At 39.3% G+C, this 17609-nt stretch overlaps 1 long non-coding RNA gene across 1 annotated transcript, besides 2 other annotated features; it reads right to left on the reverse strand.

The window, feature by feature from the left end:
- Positions 3248-3317: an enhancer, noted in NCBI's record as "active region_19626". NCBI's record gives its function as "activates an Ori minimal core promoter by ATAC-STARR-seq in GM12878 lymphoblastoid cells {active_cell/tissue: GM12878}" and the evidence as "EXISTENCE:reporter gene assay evidence [ECO:0000049][PMID:35858748]".
- Positions 10338-10607: an enhancer, noted in NCBI's record as "active region_19627". NCBI's record gives its function as "activates an Ori minimal core promoter by ATAC-STARR-seq in GM12878 lymphoblastoid cells {active_cell/tissue: GM12878}" and the evidence as "EXISTENCE:reporter gene assay evidence [ECO:0000049][PMID:35858748]".
- Positions 12471-16480, reverse strand: LOC124909359 (uncharacterized). Its single transcript, XR_007095857.1, has 2 exons — positions 16147-16480; positions 12471-12601 (listed from the first exon to the last, which is right to left on the reverse strand). It is a non-coding gene; the product is annotated as an uncharacterized LOC124909359 (long non-coding RNA).
- Between the last annotated feature and the right edge of the window lie 1129 nt (positions 16481-17609).

Genomic DNA, 17609 nt, shown 5'->3' on the forward strand with positions numbered 1-17609 from the left:
ATCCTTTCAGCTGCCCTGTGGGTGGAAAATCATTGGCCCCATTTTAGAATATGAAAGGAGGCTCTCAGAGTTGAAGGAGCTTGCTCAAGATCATGTAGCTAGTCAGCTCAAAGAAGGGATGCAAATTCTTTCTGCCAATGAAAACTTCTCCATGGTTCATATCATACTTCACAATCCATCACAAATGTTTTAGTTGGTAACCCCTTCTCAATATGGTCAAACAGACTGGCTGAAAGCAAACATTTGGCCTGAACATTTCCTTCTATCCAGCTGGCTGCTCCAATAAGAAACTATTACCCTTGTTCCAAACGCACAAGCTCATCCCTGTGTGGGCAAATAGATGCTACTTGGACAATTCCAGTTTTATTTTTGCCATTAGTGACATATGCAATGCTGTTTTTTCCATCTCATGAATAATAACAATAATAAATTTAATCATTATGATAAAATAATTATAATAATAATGGTACATTATTATTATAAAATAATAATTTTATTAGCTTAAAAATCATAGTAAACTTTCTTGTAACATTTGTCTAAAATGAGAATGGAATATTTTCTGCTAATTATGCAATGGTGTTGCTTCTTTCAAAAGCAGTTTAAGGGGAACGTAAAGGTGTACTTTTGACTAAACACAGTGAAGGACTTTCAGGTCATAATAGCACCTCCCATCCCATTGAGGTAAAATTGAAATATGACTGGAAACTAGACATGCTAGTATTTCCCCAAACTTTTGGATGAATTCCTTCTAATCACAATGGAGAGATGGCCCCCCATTCTTCATTCGTTTATGTAGTCCATGCTTTTTGCCTTATAATTTCATAGTGCCTTTCCACTCTGAGTTCAGGGCTTACCGTGTAACTGACTTTGGCCAATGATATGTTAACAAATGTGATGTAAGGAGAAACTTGAAAAGTGCTTGTCAGATTGGATTTGGTCTCATTCTTGCTCCTGTGCAATTGCCATGAGAACATGCCCAAGTTAGCCTGCTAGAGGATGAGAAACGTGAAGCAGAGGCCCCAGCTACAGTGCCCCATTTGGAATTCAACCTAAATGAGGGAACTATGCTAACTCTCCAATATTTGAGAAAGAAATACTTACTGTCATATGCCACTAAGTTTTCCAGTAGTTTGCCACACAGCAAAATTTAACTGGTGAAACAGTCTTAGGCAAAAGACTATTGGTAGTGTTCACTTGCTTTGACTTTTGAAACAAAATAATAAAGACAGGAGAAAGCATGACAGAATACATTTCTACAAGCCTTTCCTGTGTATTCTCATACCAGAGACTCAGGGTCCCTGTTGACCAGAAAATGACTTTCTGAAATGACCATACATTTTTGCCTCATTCTCTATTAGTATTTCTCTATGTCAGCATTGTCTAATAGAAATAGAATACACACTAGATAAACAATTTTAAATTTTCTAGTAGCCACATTTTTGAGAAGCAAAATGAAACTGGTGAAATTAATTATAATAGAATATTTAATATATCTAAAATATTTTCATTTCCACATTAAATCAATGTTTTTAAATTATTAATGAGATATTTTACATCCCTTTTTTATTCCACATCGTGAAATATGGCGAGTATTTTACATTTACAACACATCTCAATTTGGACTAGACACATTTCAAGTGTTCAATAGCCACAGGTTACTAGTGGCTACTATATCAAAAAGCACAACTCTGAATCCACTGGACATGGTAGTTCCATTGGCCCAGAATGGAAGTAGACAGGAAATGAAGCATTGTATCCTGGGATTTTAGCAGCCATTGGAAAAGAGAAAAGCCAGAAGAATTGAGAATAGTAGTTATTGCAACTTATGACATAGTAATTACACATTGTTTTGGATTACTCAGAAATAATTTTCTTCATCATATTCAGAAAATTAAGAGCAGATAATGCAGAAAAGCTTTGTCAGACAAGTGTCTAAAAAAACAATGGAAACTTGGTTAGGAGCTATATATATATCCATCCACTCTTCAATTGTGATACAAGGAGTATGTGTCATCATCTAGGTAGGAGATAATGGGATGAAGAACACATGTGCTTATTTTTTTGAAAACTCCAGGAGTATATATGTATATCTATATATCTACTTATCTATGTAGCTATACACACAGACACACACAATAAAAATAATTCTACAATTTTGCATTATTGGAGAAGGAAAGTATTTCCCTGACAACACAAATAAATAAATAGCATATTTTTTAAAGAGTAATTACAGGTAAAAGAAAAATATTATACCTTTAATATAACTTAGATCGAAAACCTATGAAACAAGAGTTGAATGAAGATGTGATGGGAAAAGAGATTTAATTTTGGCCTTAGACAAAAAATGGAGCCAATCGAAAAAGGGAAAGAGTTCAAGAAAATTAAAAATGCAATTAAAGATAAAAAGATAAATAAGAAATTGGTAAATAGAATGAGGATAAGAGACCTAACTTATACATAATTGGTGATACCAAGAGAAAATCACAACAGTTTAAGCAGAAGCTAAAATCAAGCCCCAACACTGGAATACAATGGAGCAAATTTATAAAGTTTCGAAGAAAAGTGTATGATCCAATAATTCTCCCCAAAGTAGGTTGTCAAAAGAAATATACTCTTAGACAGTAAACTGTACCCATTATCTATTGCCACAATAATGCTGCAAAGCAAGCAACCACAAAATCTCCGTGAGATAAAACAATAAACATTTATTTTTGTTCACAAGATTATGAGTTGTCTGGGGATTTCTGCAGATCTGAGCGGGGATACTTCACATGACTGTGGCCTTGTCCAGACAATTAGATTCACCTGACTGATCTCTATTTCTCTCGTCCTCCATCATCTTAGCTTGGTCTCAGAGTGGTAGCAGGGATACAAAGTTACTGGGTAGAGGAGGTAGATATGAGGAGGCTAATAAGGAGGACCATCAAAGCAATAATTCTCCTTGTGAATGCCCTCCAGCTATAGACCACCAGGAACACATCTAAAAATGTTGGGTTTATTACTCATTTCAGTGAGGGAGAATTCACACCGTGGGAAACCTTGAGTCTTGTTAGTGAGAGGGCATTACAAAGCATTTGTAGGATTTGTGTTTTGTGTTAAGTGATTTTAGTGTGTAGGGCTTTGGTTTGGATTGGCTGATGTCCAGAAGCAGGGGTATCTTATGAATGGGTATCTTAATAAATCTTATCTATCTAGAATGTGGGAAGACCAGAAAAGATTAACGCTGTACTTGGTAAAGAAGCAGCAATCCCTTGTATTAGCCATGAGAGGGGGATGGTTGGTCACTTCTGTGGCTTGTACAATGTACATGTTTTGTTGTGTTCAGACATGGTCATGAAGTGGTCTTGTCTTTGTCATGCTCCACCATCATCACAGAGTAGCCTGGTCTGACACTGATGCTCTGTGAAGTTATTTTCAACAGGAGAGCACTAAAGTCTAGCTGTGATGCCAGCCGGCTCCAAGAGGTCAGGCTGCTTTTCTTCTCATGTCACACACACACTCCCAGTTGGTTACCCTGGCAATTTTACTTAATGCTTTCATTCATCATAGCAAGAGGTGATTCAAAATAAATGAACTTGATTTTTTTTTTAAAAAAAAAAAAGCTTTGGTATAAAAGCACCAACAGTAAACACAGAACCCAGTTAAACACAGAGCTATATCTAAATGAATATTATAAATATGGTTATAATATATCAAAAGCGATCATGAAATGAGACATATAAGCCATATAATAATAGTTTAATAATAAGAATTTAGGTATAACCCCCAAATTATATTAACAAGAGTAAAGAATGAAAAATGGAGAGTAGGAGAAAGTTGAAATGTAGAGCATTTCTCATTTTAGAGAATGGGAGGTCAAAAGACAATGGTTCTTTTTCTTTTTTTTTTTTCCTCTATCAAGTTTGGAGAAATAAAGGTGCCATACGTTTTTGAAAAACTTAATGAAAACTACTTGTAGTGCTAATAAACAGAATGTGTACCTTCCAAATGATTACAGAAAATAAAAGCCACCCCTAAAAAATTGTAGCATCAGACAGAAAACAAAGAAACTAATCAAAAGCATTTTTTAAGCATAAAACAAAATGGCTGAAATAAGACCAAAAGTCTTACTCATTCATTTGTCTTCCCTCCTTTTCTTACCCCTGCTCTTGCCTTAGACCAGGCCCTGATCTGCTCTCTGTCTTCTAAAATACAGCATACAGCCTCCTAATCAGCCTCTCTCCCTCAGATCAGATCTTTGCAGAGCAGAGGCTGCACTCATGCTATCATTTGTAGAGTGGGGACATTGGCAAACTGTTGATTACAGGTGTGCAATGAGGAGAGAACAGAGATTAAGACAAGCATGTGAAGCTTTTGTAGCAATTTGACAAGCTATTTTGTGTCTGTTGAAACTAATAATTAATAATTGGTGCTTGCATTTTGTACCTTTTTATTACATTTTTCTAGTAACTCATTTTTTATTATAGTTTCTAAAAATATCAGTCTGTAATATATGAGAAAAGGCAGAAAACAGCTGGTCCTTCACCACGGATGGTTTGAGAAGCCCAGAGCATATCTAAGTGAATTCCATGGAATCTGTCACTTCTCTGCCCACAAACATTCAGTGGCTCCCTCCTGTTCCTAACAATGATTCTTCTTTTCCTGCCTCCACACTATTCCTATGGGCAACATTGCCTATCAGTCATGCCTCTTATTATACAGGGATTCTCAAAGGGAGAGGGCAGAGACGAAAATCTCAAACCTGGAAGGAAAGCAGTAGGAATGTGCACTTTGAAACATAAAACCCTAAAGATTTGGATACATCTGCAGTGTGTGTGTCCCCTTCCCTTCCTCCTCCGCTACCCTCAGGCCACACCTCCAGGCCCTCCCCAACAGCACCCCCAGAACTCAGGAGCTCAGAGATTGCACCCTGGACACACCCCGCAGTCCCCTGCCTGCCCCTTTTCTCTTCTTCCAAGACTGTCACCTCTCCCCTCCACCACACTCTGCTCCTTCTTGAAGCCCCAACTCAAAAGTCATGCTTTCCTGTTCCCTCCTTCCCAACCCCTCCCAGGCAAATTTTCTTGCTCCTTTGAGGCAAAAGCTCCATACACATACCTAACTTTGACACTGAGGCTTCAATTTTAGGGGTTTTCCTAAGGACAAAATTAGGGTTTATGTACAAATTTATCTATAAAATTATTAAATTCAGAGTAGTACAGGATTGGTTAAATAACTAACTTCTGTCCATACAATAGAATAATACACAGCTACTAAAAATTTTGAAGAAGAATGCATGTAACATGGAAATATGTTTGCAATGATCTGTTAAGTAAACAAGTAGATTATAAAATAAAATGTGTAGGTACATATATGGGAAATGTTTAAATGTTATTTAAATATAGTGATAAATATAAGCATAATATAGATCTAGTTACAGATAAAGACACACACACAGACAAAGGGACAGGCACAAATGTAGGCCAAGATACAAAGATGCATACAGATGCAGATACAGACCAAATGTGAAGAAGTGTTATTTCTGTGTTATGGGATTATAAGTAGTTCCGGTTTTTCTCTTTTTTCCTATCTGTATGTTCTACCAGAAATGTTGATTATTTTTTGCAATAAGAAAAAAAAAGTTAAAGAATTAATTGTTGCCCATGCAGGTTGCCATGGAGCTCTGCACAGTCTTGGAGGAAAGCACTTCCCCTTGTACCTTTGGTTGTTTACTTTGCCAGCTCCCACTGGATGTGGTCCCAGGAGGTAGAATCACCTGGCAAACACAGCATCCCAACACTGAACAGTCTCCAATGACACATTTGCAGAACTAAACTGAATGTGTTGAATTGCCCGAAGACAAACACTGAACAGTCAGGCATCCATGCCATTTCCCAGGAAACCAAAAATTGAATTGATCAAAATGACCAGGGCAGCTGGACTCATGAAACATGAGTCTTTAGTACTCACCTGTCTGGATGAAGTGTGAGTTGAACTTGGTCAAGGGAAACGTGAAAAAACCCTATTGGAAGTGCCCGTTAACCTTAATGGACACTGCATTAAGCAGCCCTCCCCAGCTGTGTTTGTGGAAGAAGCCTGGGCTGTGATGACTCATCCAGTGGGTATTGATTCTTTTCAGGTAGTTCAGAGGGAAAGTTTTTCGTGAAACTGCCTGGGAAATGGGGCAAGTCCCCAGAATGAGCATATTAGCAGATATGATTTTTCACTTAGTTTCTGTGTGTTTGTGTCTCTGTATAATAATAATGCTCTCTGAAACGTATAGACTGGCTTTCCCCTGAAGAGGATACAGTTCTTTCACACATATTGAGCCCAATTTTCCCATTTCTCAAGTTTCTCTCAAAGAGTGTGAGTACTTCAAGACACATTAGCTCTGCAAAGCGTCTGGACTTTTATTTACTGACAGACGGCTACTGCTGAAGGAATCAAGGCAGCTTAACGCCATCTGACTGTGTTGGCTTCCAGACACTCACAGCCTCCCAGGGCCTCTCATTCATCCTTATACATCATGTGTGAAAGAGCTAGCGGCAGGTAGAGCATCACACAATTATAGAGACAGAGGCACTGTGCATTGCCTAGCACTGTAAACCTATTCTAGTGAGTTGAATGGTGGCCTCCAAAAGGTATGTCCGTCCAGAGCCTCAGAACGTGTCCCTTATTTGGAACAAAGGTCTTCACATATGTGATTTGGGTAAGCATCTGAAGATGAGATCATCCTTGACTAGGGTGGACTCTAAATCCAATGGCCTGTCCTTATAGGATAAGAGAGGGAGAAATTAACACAGAAACACACTGAGAAGAAGGCCATGTGAAGACAGAAGCAGAGATTGGAGTGATGCTGCTATAAGCCAAGGACCTCCAGGAATCACCGGAAGCTGGAAGAGGCCAGGAAAGATTCCTAGAGCCCTTGGAAAGAGCACAACCCCATCTGACAATTTGACTCTGGCCTCTAAAACTGTAAGCAAACAACCTTCTGTTGTCTTCCGCCACCAAGTTCGTGGTTAATTTGTTGCAGCAAACCCAGGAAACTAATATATTAATAAAATCATGATTCTAGAGTATACTAAACAGATTGAAGAAATCACATGAGCTCATGGAACTATATGTGTGTTCACAAGCTTGCAAGCTTAGGCTTAATTTTTCAGCCCTGACTTTTTAAACATATACTCTCCCTCACTTGTGCCATGAACAAGTTAGGGCTAAAAATTATGATCCTAAAAATGGGCACCTGTTTTAAATAGGATTTGACTTTTAAAACATAAGAAGACAGGATGTTTCCTTTCTCTTCCAGCCCACCCTACCCTCCACTCACCCCTAGACACTATACATATCACCAATCTTGAAAGGTAATATGTGTAGGAGTTAAGAACATGGGTTATGGAGTCAACCAGACTTGCCTTTCCCTGGATTGCATGACCTTGGCCAAGTCACTTAATCTCTCTGAGTTTCAGTTTCTTTATGTGTATACTGGGATAGTGCATGTCATAAGCTTAGCACATGGCCAGGAATATAGTAGTCAGTATTGAAAGTGTTCAGTCAATACTGAAATAGATAAACAATTGCTAGACTGAAGGACAGATACATAAAGACTGAAACCAATAAGCAGCAGAAAGAAATATAATAAAAAACAGGACAGTACAGTATAGTACAGTATAATGCAATGCAACAAAACACAGTACAAGTCTGAATACCACTCCTCATCTCCCACTTCAATCTTTGGAGTTTGAAAGTAATAATTAAATTGTAGGAGTCAAAAACAGAGAAGTTGGATGGGTGGATAAAGCAGGTAGCACTGAATGGAAAAACCCAAGGAAAAAAACCTCTAAGGGTGCTCAGACTTGTTGGGGGATGGGCAGAGAGCCAGGACAAGCTATAGTCATGGGTACAGCTTCTAGTATCACTGAGGAATGCCCTCTCAAAGAAAACTGAGTTAGTAGATGCCAGATATCAGCAGTGGGAAGGAGAGAGAGCCACTGTGAGGCTGCCTTAGATCTTGGCCCATACTTGGAGGAGGAGGGGTGAGCAAGGAAGCTCTGCAGAAAGAAGCTGGAGGTGATTCACTAAATGCCCTGGGGCTGAGGGAGGAATCTTAAGGGACCACTTAGTATAGAAGTACAACAACCAGACTCAATGGCATCCTAGAAAACAGATTCCCACCAAAAATATCCTACAGAGCCGGCAAAAAGAGGCCACCATGAGAAATAGCAAGCTTTAAATGTCTATCAGTTTTGGCTAGCACTAAGACACCCAGCCAAGTGAGAAGACATCTCCCTCTGTGTCTTTTTCCTCCTCTCCCCCACATCACTGGGGAGTGAAACCATGCCTCTGTGGAGGAAGAGGGGATGAATCAGCAGAAAGCAGCAAGCCAGGACCACTCAGCCTTCTCCACCTGCAGGCTTCTACCCTGAAACAGCCCAATCCAGGGAAGGGGAAAAGATTTACTGCCAAGTTGAGATTTGTTTATTTCACAAGGAAGGGGATTCTAATCTCTGGATCAAAAGGAGACATAGGACATGAAATGATCATATGACTTTTACCTAAAACATAAAGTTGCAGTTTTAACACTATGCTAGTCATAATTGTTCAATATACTTCTACCCTTTCTTAAAAATTAAAACATTTCATGAAAGCCCAGAAAATAGTGTAAAAGGCTGCAAATGTCCACCACTTAAATTCGTTATAATTTGCTTCATCACTCTCTTTTAAACAGAGAGTTATTCAGAATATAACCATAACACCACTCTCATCCTTCCTTTCTCATTTGAGAAGAGCCATATTGCTCTAAGACAATAACCTCGATCTTGAAGTTGGTAAATATTATTCGCATGCATTTTTCATAATTCATCCACATCCTTTAAAGTTGTAATGGAGTCAATGGGTGGGAGGATGGAAGAGTGAAGATGGAGACTGGTTGGGAGACTAACAGTGCTCAGTGAGGGTAATGGTGACATCAGAGGCAGCGGAAGTGGTGGAGACACTAACATGGGCCTTGACTGAAAGTAAATGTGGTCACAGGCAGTGGATATAGTCACCTAGAGAGAGGATAAAGAGAAGGAAGAAGGATGAGCTCAGAGTAAGAAGATCTGAAGGAACCACCAAAGAAGCTGTCTACCATACAAGGAAAGAGGTTATGACCAACACCAGAGAAGAGACTGAGTGACTTCCAATTCCAAGCAACAGCCCCATATGCTCATGGATTTTGTGGCCTTATGCCAACGGTTCTCAACTGGGGATAATTTTACCCACTTGGAGACATTTGATTGTCACAACTAGGGGTGCTTCTAGCACTGACTGGGTAGAATCCAGGGATACTGCTACATATCCTACAGTGCACAGGACAGGCCCCACAACAAAGAATCTTCCAGCCCCAATTGTCAGTGGAGCTAGAGTTGAAAAGCCCTGCTTTATGTTAATGCATACCCAAAATAAGAATTAGGGCTGGCAAACTTTTTTATTTTGGAAGGCTCTTGGGAATCGTTTTATTAATGTGGTGAGTGGCATAGAAATTTCAAAAAGGAAAAATAAAAGTTTCACCACGATATAAAGACCATGATTTTTATGTAAGTCACCATAATATATTTGGAAGGGTTGGCTAGCAAAATATATATTTTATATAAGTCACCATAATATATTTGGAAGGGTTCACTATATATATTTGAAATGATTGGCTAGCAAAATTTGTATTTCACTGCCAATCACTACAAAATCTGTATCTCACTACCAATCACCATACAGGGAGTTATTAGTGTGCACTTTGAGTTTGTTAGATCTGGATTTAAGTCCCAACTCTGTCTTTTAACAGCTACTTGCATCAGGCACAGTTCAATTAAGGCAGAAGACCATAATAGGTAGTACAAAATAAGGGATTGGAATAGGAGTGAGACCTTACACAATTGTGGGAAAAGCTGCAGAAATAAGGATCACAGAAGGGGAATTGGGGGGGTCAAAGAAAAGTCACTAGCCAGTCCCCTGGAAGCACTGGCACAGGTGGGCTAGTCAGAGCCTAGGAATCCGGATAGCCTGAAAGTCTAGCTACTGATGCGGGGCCACAAAAGAGTGCTGGTGGGAAAGTCAACTGAGGAGGTTGCTCTGCATCTGATGGTGGGCCTGGAGCCACTGTTGGTCAGTAGGGCTATCAGTTGGGAAGAACTGAACGTGGAAAAGAGAATTTGGAGGAAAAGCTTGAATCTGCTGGCACATCTGCATCTGTCTCTCACCACTTCTCACCACAACAACCTTCAGAGAGTAAAGGCTGCTGTTCCACTTCCAACTTGCAAATCTCAGCCAAGTTTCTCTTTGGGTCAACTCTAATTCAGAATCATGGAAAGAAAGAGGGTTCCAGGAAGATGATTCAAGTTTAACTAGTTGACACCACACAAAACCACTACAGATGTGACTGGGCAAGTTACTTCACCTCTCTGAGTCTCAGTTTCCATATCTGCAAGCTGGTGATAATAGCAATACCCCATGCGATTTTTTGTGAGGATTAATGGAGAGGATATAGGTAAGAAAAACAGCACCTGGCACATAATAAGTTGTTGACAAACCTTAGCTACTATCGTTGTTGCTGTTGAATAGAGATATATTCTGGAACTGGTATTCCTTCAGATGGTTCACCTTGCAGAGTTTCATTGGCTGACCTTGACTTCAGCAAGGAAACTCTAGCATGACTCAATAGACAACTCCTCCCACAAACAGAGGTACTAAAAGGGGAAAAAATGGAGACCAAAACAAAACTTACTATGAACATAGTATTTTGTTGGTGACAACAAAAAGGACTAGCCTGAGAAGCTGACTCCTGTAGCTGGGTAGGTATACTGCCATTGGACAAAGCCATGGCCCCTGTCATTCCTGTTCTCCCATCCACGAAAGAAGGAAAATACAGCCTGTTTCCCCCTCCCTTCTGGGAGGAGTGAGAGCAGACCCAACAGGACTTTATGAGATGTGAGTGCTCTTTGAGAAAAAAATGCTATCACAGTGCTAGGTAATCTTCACCCTTCATAATGTTGCTTCATCTCCACAATGAGAAATGCTTCCTTTGAAGTGCTGCTGGGTATGGATTATCACAGAGTTGGGATTTTAAGGTAATTTTTCCCTCTTGGTATCAGGCACTGATCAGCAAATAGGTTTATGAAGAGGGAGTGCCTCCTTGCTGCTGTTCATGATTTCCCATGCCAGAACAGTGGCCAGAAGTGACAGCAAAGCCTCCCAGGAGAATTACTGAATTTGCCAAGGAGCTAAAATGCACCTCATAGTTTACGTATTAATCCATTATGCTTACTACTGTCACCATATTCATTTATAGACCCAGCGAGCTGTTGAATGGTACGATCTCCTCCAGTATCCTTCAGGCTGTAAACTCCTAAGAGATAGCCCCTCCTTTCTCTCACCTTCCTTCTCTGCCAACAGGGGAAGCCACAGACAGCGCATTCTGCTATATCAAGAATCTCAGAACCTTAAGAGTGGAGCAATCCGTCCAACTCCTTCATTTTCCAAGTATGGACACCAGGGTCTAGAGATGTAAAAACCTTGATCAAGATCACAGAGTAGGTTAAAGAAACAGAAACAAGCAATCATGGGATCCCTAGTCCAATGCCCTTCCCTCTACACCAACAGAAAATAACACTTGATGTTGAGCTTTCTCTCCCATACCCACCACTTATATGCTGACAATGTATGTCAATGTGAGAAAATCAGAGCCGAACTAAAGACCAAGTCTTCAGAATATGTCACGTGGTCCCCCACAAAAAGGCTGCGTTTCAGTGATTCATTATTTAGCAACAGTTTCTGTTGCAATTCATCGTAACTGCATTCTCTTCATCCCCTCCCCCCACCCCTTTTCCCTCCAGTCAAGATGAATGTAAAGACCTTCTATAGCTCTTCTCTCATGAAATGTTCCTTGGGCTGTAGGAATCCAATTATATTTTTCAGTGAAATGTTACCTATTAGAGAAAGATTAAAATAAACTGGAAGAAATGAAAACCATCTGTGACCTCGAACTTTTTTTTTCCCCAGGGTCCCTCTTCCATGAAAGTAGGGTTTTGGAGACCTATCTGGGGTCCACTGCCCAGTGATCCTACCAACTAGTGACCCTTTTTTCTAACATCTGTTGTGCATTCAGTTGGGCCTAGCCCTTCACCTTGAAACCACAAGCCTATCATCATGCTGTAAGGCCAATGAAAAGAAGGTGTCTTTTCTTGCTTTAGAGACAGTCTCTCTTCTGGATTCTTCGGTCTTCTTGTTCCCACCCTGTCTCTCAACCTGCTCCTGCTCCCATACCTCCCCTCTCTGGCACTGGCCACTGGAACCTAATACACCGGCTCTCTCAGATTCACCTCAAATGCCTTTTATTCAGGTAGATGATAAATAATGATTGGTTTGTCACAGGCACCGCTGGTTTGTTCTAGGCACTGTGCCAGTGGGTATTTGACTTAGTCCACTTGGGCTGTCATAACAAAATAGCATAGACTATGTGGCTTAAAAAACAAGAATTTATTTTCTCACAGTTCTGGAGGCTGGAAGTCCAAGATCAGGGAGCTGGCATGGTTGGATTCTGCTGAGGGTGCTTTTCCTGGCTTCCTAATGGCTGTCTTCTTGGTATGTCCTCACATGATGGAGAAAGATAGAAAGAGAGAGATCTCACTTTTCATCTTCTTATAAGGCCATCCATCCTACTGAATTAGGACCCACACTTATGACCTCATTTAATCTTAATTACCTCCAGAAAGCCCTACTTCCAAATATAGTCAATTGAGGGTTAGAGCTCTAATATGTGAGTTGAAGGTGGGGGTTGGGGAGGACACAATCCAGTACGTAGCAATGTTATTGTCTATAAAGACAGACATTTATCAAATAATCACAAAAGCAAACATAAAATTCCAAGTAGTTCTAAGAAGGAGAAGTCACACTGCCAGGAAGGTGTCTGACAGAGAAATGCAACCTAGTCAGGGAGTTCCAGGAGGACTCTCCCAAGAACGTGTCCCTTGAGCTGAGATGTAAAGGAACAGTAAAAAATTCACAGGCATAGACAGGAGTGGAGAGGCTTCTAGGCAGAGGAAATAGAATATGCAAAGTCCTTGAGGCAGGAAAATACATAATGAGTTCAAAGTACTCCTCTTAGGGCTAGTACAGAGAAAACATAACACAAAAGGAGACTGGAAAGTCAGGTCAGCACAGGCAGAGTGTTGTGGAGTGTCATAAGGAGTTTTCATTACTCTAATAACACTAGGAAGCACAGCAAGATTTAAGGAACAGGAATGGCATAATTAGATTTGCATGTTTGAAGAAGGCACATCTTACAGCGTGGATCTGTTGTTCAGATCTAGAATCTGCACCTACAATGGGCTTCCATTTGTTCCTTTGGATTGATTTTACTCCCTACAGCACCAAGTAACAACCTAATTCCCAAAACTCCATGTTTTAGGGGCCCACATGGCCTGCATTGCTGGCGATTTTATCTTGTTCTTACAGAAAACTTATACAGCTCATGATGCAGTTTTGTGGGGAGTTTTTTGTATACATGGCACTCAACTAAACTTCTGGTTCATAAGCTTTTGGGAGGCTATAACTTTGCCTACCATAATAACTGGCCCACATCATAAGCCCTCAAAAGCTAATCAGTTAAACACATCTTTTGATTAACTAAATAAATGACTTCATGAACTCCCTTAGAGAGCAATTTTCCCTTTGAAGAGGTTATGAGTAGCTCTAGTTGAGCCCAGATTCCATCTGATCTTCTAGTCTTTTGGGCTGTAATAGGAAATACTATCCTACAGGTGGTTCAAAGCTCTATGAAGGACCTACATACAGAGAGGTGTGGGCAGACTTAAGGAGCGAAGAAGTGATGTGTGGCACCCAGAGAGCCGCCATATTGTGGAGATAATACCCCCACTCCACCCTCAGGGTTTCAACACCCCATAGAAATATTGACTTTGACCTAATTTTATTGCTGTCCTCCAATTCTTCTTCTCCCTACCAAGTGGTAGAATTTGAATCTCTCTTCATAATGGAGAGAATTTCTAATGCCATATCCTGTACCTTTCCATATCCAGTATTAATTCTCAGATCTGAGTCCTCAAGGCTCAGACTATTTCAAACCATGCCTCCTTGGAGACTCAGAATAAAAATACCTTTTATCTCAAGGTACTTGAGATAAAGTACCCAGTTCTCACAAATCAAAATCAACTTGGCTTTCATACTATAGTTCCAGTCATGGACTCTCAAAACTCTTGAAAGTTGAAGACAACAATGATGTCTTTGTTATATACTGTACCTACCTTCCCCTAAAGCAAAGAATGCTATTGATTTAGGTAGGGAGAGAAGGGGGAACAACAATTAGAAGTACCTAGGGATTCCTAGAAGTGAAACAACATCCATCTTAAAAATACCATCCTGCTGCATTTTTAAGCATGAAGGGTACTACTCAGTAGGGAAGTGTGAGGAACTCTGCAGTTCCACATTGACCTCCCCTTGGGAAGCATGTTTGAGTTCATAAGAATTACAATACAAAAGATTATGTTCAAGCTTTTTTTCTAGTTACAGTCTCACTCTAGTCATGCTTCCTAATGAGGGATGCTCCTCCATCACCTTGGCTGAATTAGATTGAGCTGAAACCTTCTCAGCAACCAGCTTTCCAAGTACCCTCTTGAATTATTTTTAGGGCTGGCTGATTCTTCCAAAATGTTCAAATTTTACTAATTTCTTTAATGGATAGTAATCTGCTCCTGGTATTCTAGGAGTGTGTGATGCAAATGGCCTTCAAGTTATTAAAGAAATTAAGGGCAAGAGAAACGACTTACCTGATTATCCTTAACCCTCCCACATGAGACATGATAGATGCCTTCTGGACTCCAGTCTTAATGAAAGGAAATGAGTCCTATTCACTGGAGTAGGGAACAAGGATGAAAGGGCTAAAATTGCTCAACCCTGTCCACAGTAATTTCCACTTTTGGCCAAGGAGAAGCTAATCTTGTAGTTTGGGTTGGAGGTGGTGGGCCTTGGAGACAAACTTAATGAAGCTTCTTGGGCCACACCTGGCCACAGCTGGCCACAAGGTTTTTCTAGCAATTCATAGATTCATAGTTCACAAAAGCTCCACACTTGTCCATCTCCCTCAAGGTTGTTTTAGCAGAATGAGAGACTTGTTTCTCATTAATTAAGTAACTCTTCAGACCCACTCCTTAGAAGTAGATGACTAATTATTATTGGCTCAACTACTTCATCTTTCTTAGTGAGACAAAGTTTAATAACTCCAGGAATTAAAACCATAATAGGCTCTCTTTAACGTCTGTGGGGCTTTTGTGTGTGAAAAAAAAATTGACTAGCATTTGTATTTTGTTTAATGTTCAATTCATTAGACTCCTGTATTAGACTCAAGGAAACTTTGAAAGCCTATTTTTTAAGCACTTAGTCATTGATTACAAGTTTTGATTAATTCAATTCCCATATACAATTTAAACTGCAATAACAAATTTAGTATGGCTGATTTTTCAAAAGCTTCCAATGCCTTTAAGAACAGACAAAACAAACAAAAGTACAATGATTTCAAAACTATTTAAAACTCTTTCAGCAAAAAGTGGCTATATAAATGTTAAAATCCTGAATTTAACTTTTTTAAAAAAATATTTATTCTTTTTAGGGATTTCGACTTCCACAGCTTCCTAGAGTTTTGGTAATTTTACCAGACACCATTCTTTTCATTTATTTATTTATTCATTCATTTATTTTCTGTTTCATTGAGGTATAATGGTATAATTGACAACTGAAATTGTATATGCTTAAAGTGTACAGTGTAATGATTTGATATACACATTGTGAAATGATTATGACAATCAAGTTAACTATTACCTCATATAATTACATGTGTGTGTGTGTTTGCAAATGCTTAAGATCTATTCTCTTAGCAAATGTCAAGTATACAATACATTATTATTAACTATATTTACTAGGCTATACATTAGGTCCTCAAGAACTTATTCATCTTATAAGTAAAATTTTGTATGCTTTGACCAACATCTCTCCATTTCTCCAACTCCCAGTCCCTGGCAGCCACAATTCTACTCTGTTTCTATGAGTTTGACTTTATTTTTAAGATTCTATAGACAAATGATACTACATAGTATTTGTCTTTCTCCAGATTATTTCACTTACCATAATCCAAGCTGTCACAAATACAGGATTTCCTTGTTTTTTTAAGGCTGAATAATATTCCATCAAATTTATCTGTACCACATTTTCTTATCCATCCACGCACCAATGGACACTAAGGCAGTTTCCACATCTTCGCTATTTTGAATGATACTGCAATGAACCTGAGGGTGCACATATCTCTTTAAAATACTGATCTCATTTTCTTCTAGTATATACTCAGAAGTTGGATTGTTTGGTATCTCAATCCCATTTTGTATGGGATCATATGGTAACTCTATTTTTAATTTTTTTAGGAACCTTTATACCGTTTTCCATGATCATGATAGCTGTGGCAATTTACATTTACACTTACAATATATAAGGCTTCCATTTTTACCACATCTTTATGTCTTTTTATCTCTTGTCTTTTTGATGATAACCATACTGGCAGGTATAAGGTGATATCTTATGGTGGCCAGATACCATTTTTTTAATTTCCTAGAGTTTTAATACTTTTTCTAGACCCCAAAGAAAATGAACTCCATCTCAGAAAGGCCTAGAAGGCAGATGATAGATTTGGGAACCTGTTGACTTATGGCCAGAACATATGACATAATTTGGCAATCTTCAAATCACTGGGCCAAAACATTTTTATCATAAAGTTTCACATATTGGATTATGGAACACTCACATCAATGACTTTCATTTTTGAGGTTAGGTGTCCTTTCTCAAACAAGTGTATCAGTCAGGGTTCTCCATTAAACCAATAGTATATATTAATATATAAATATATAGAAAAAGATTTGTTATGAAGGCTGGGAAGTCCCATGATCTGCTACCTGCAAGCTGGAGATCCAGGGAAACTGATGGTGTAGTTCCAATCCAAGCATAAAGGCCAAGAACTGGGGGGCTGATAGCGTAGGTCCCAGTTTGAGTCTGAAAACCCAAGATGCCAGAGTGCTAATGCCCAAAAAGGCAGGAGAAGATGGGTGTCTCAATTCAACAAGAGAGAGCAAATTCACCCTTCCTCTGCCTTTTTGTTCTTTTCAAGACCCTCAATGGATTGGATGAGGCCTACCCACAATGGTGAGGGTAATCTTTACTCAGTCTACTGATTCAAGTGCTAATCTCTTCCAGAAACACCCACAAAGACACTCCCGGAAATAATGGTTTACCAGCTATCTGGGCATCCCTTAGTCCAGTCAAGTTGACACATAAATTCAACATCCCAATTAGGGTTTCTTTAAATCTTGACTTACCAACAGTACCTTTCCCATTGTCCTGAAATATTGACCTGGTTTGTCAGCAATATTAAAAATGTATGTGTTGCAATCACTTTGGAAAATGAGTTGGTATTTCTTATAGAGTTAAACCCACACCTAAATGGTAACCCAGCAGTTCAACTACTAAGTATTTATTCAAGATAAATAAAAGCATTTGATCACAAAAAGACTTGTACAATAATATTCATAGCAATTTTAGTC

Source organism: Homo sapiens, chromosome 3 (genome assembly GCF_000001405.40).
Source record: "Homo sapiens chromosome 3, GRCh38.p14 Primary Assembly".
Classification (NCBI taxonomy): domain Eukaryota; kingdom Metazoa; phylum Chordata; class Mammalia; order Primates; family Hominidae; genus Homo; species Homo sapiens.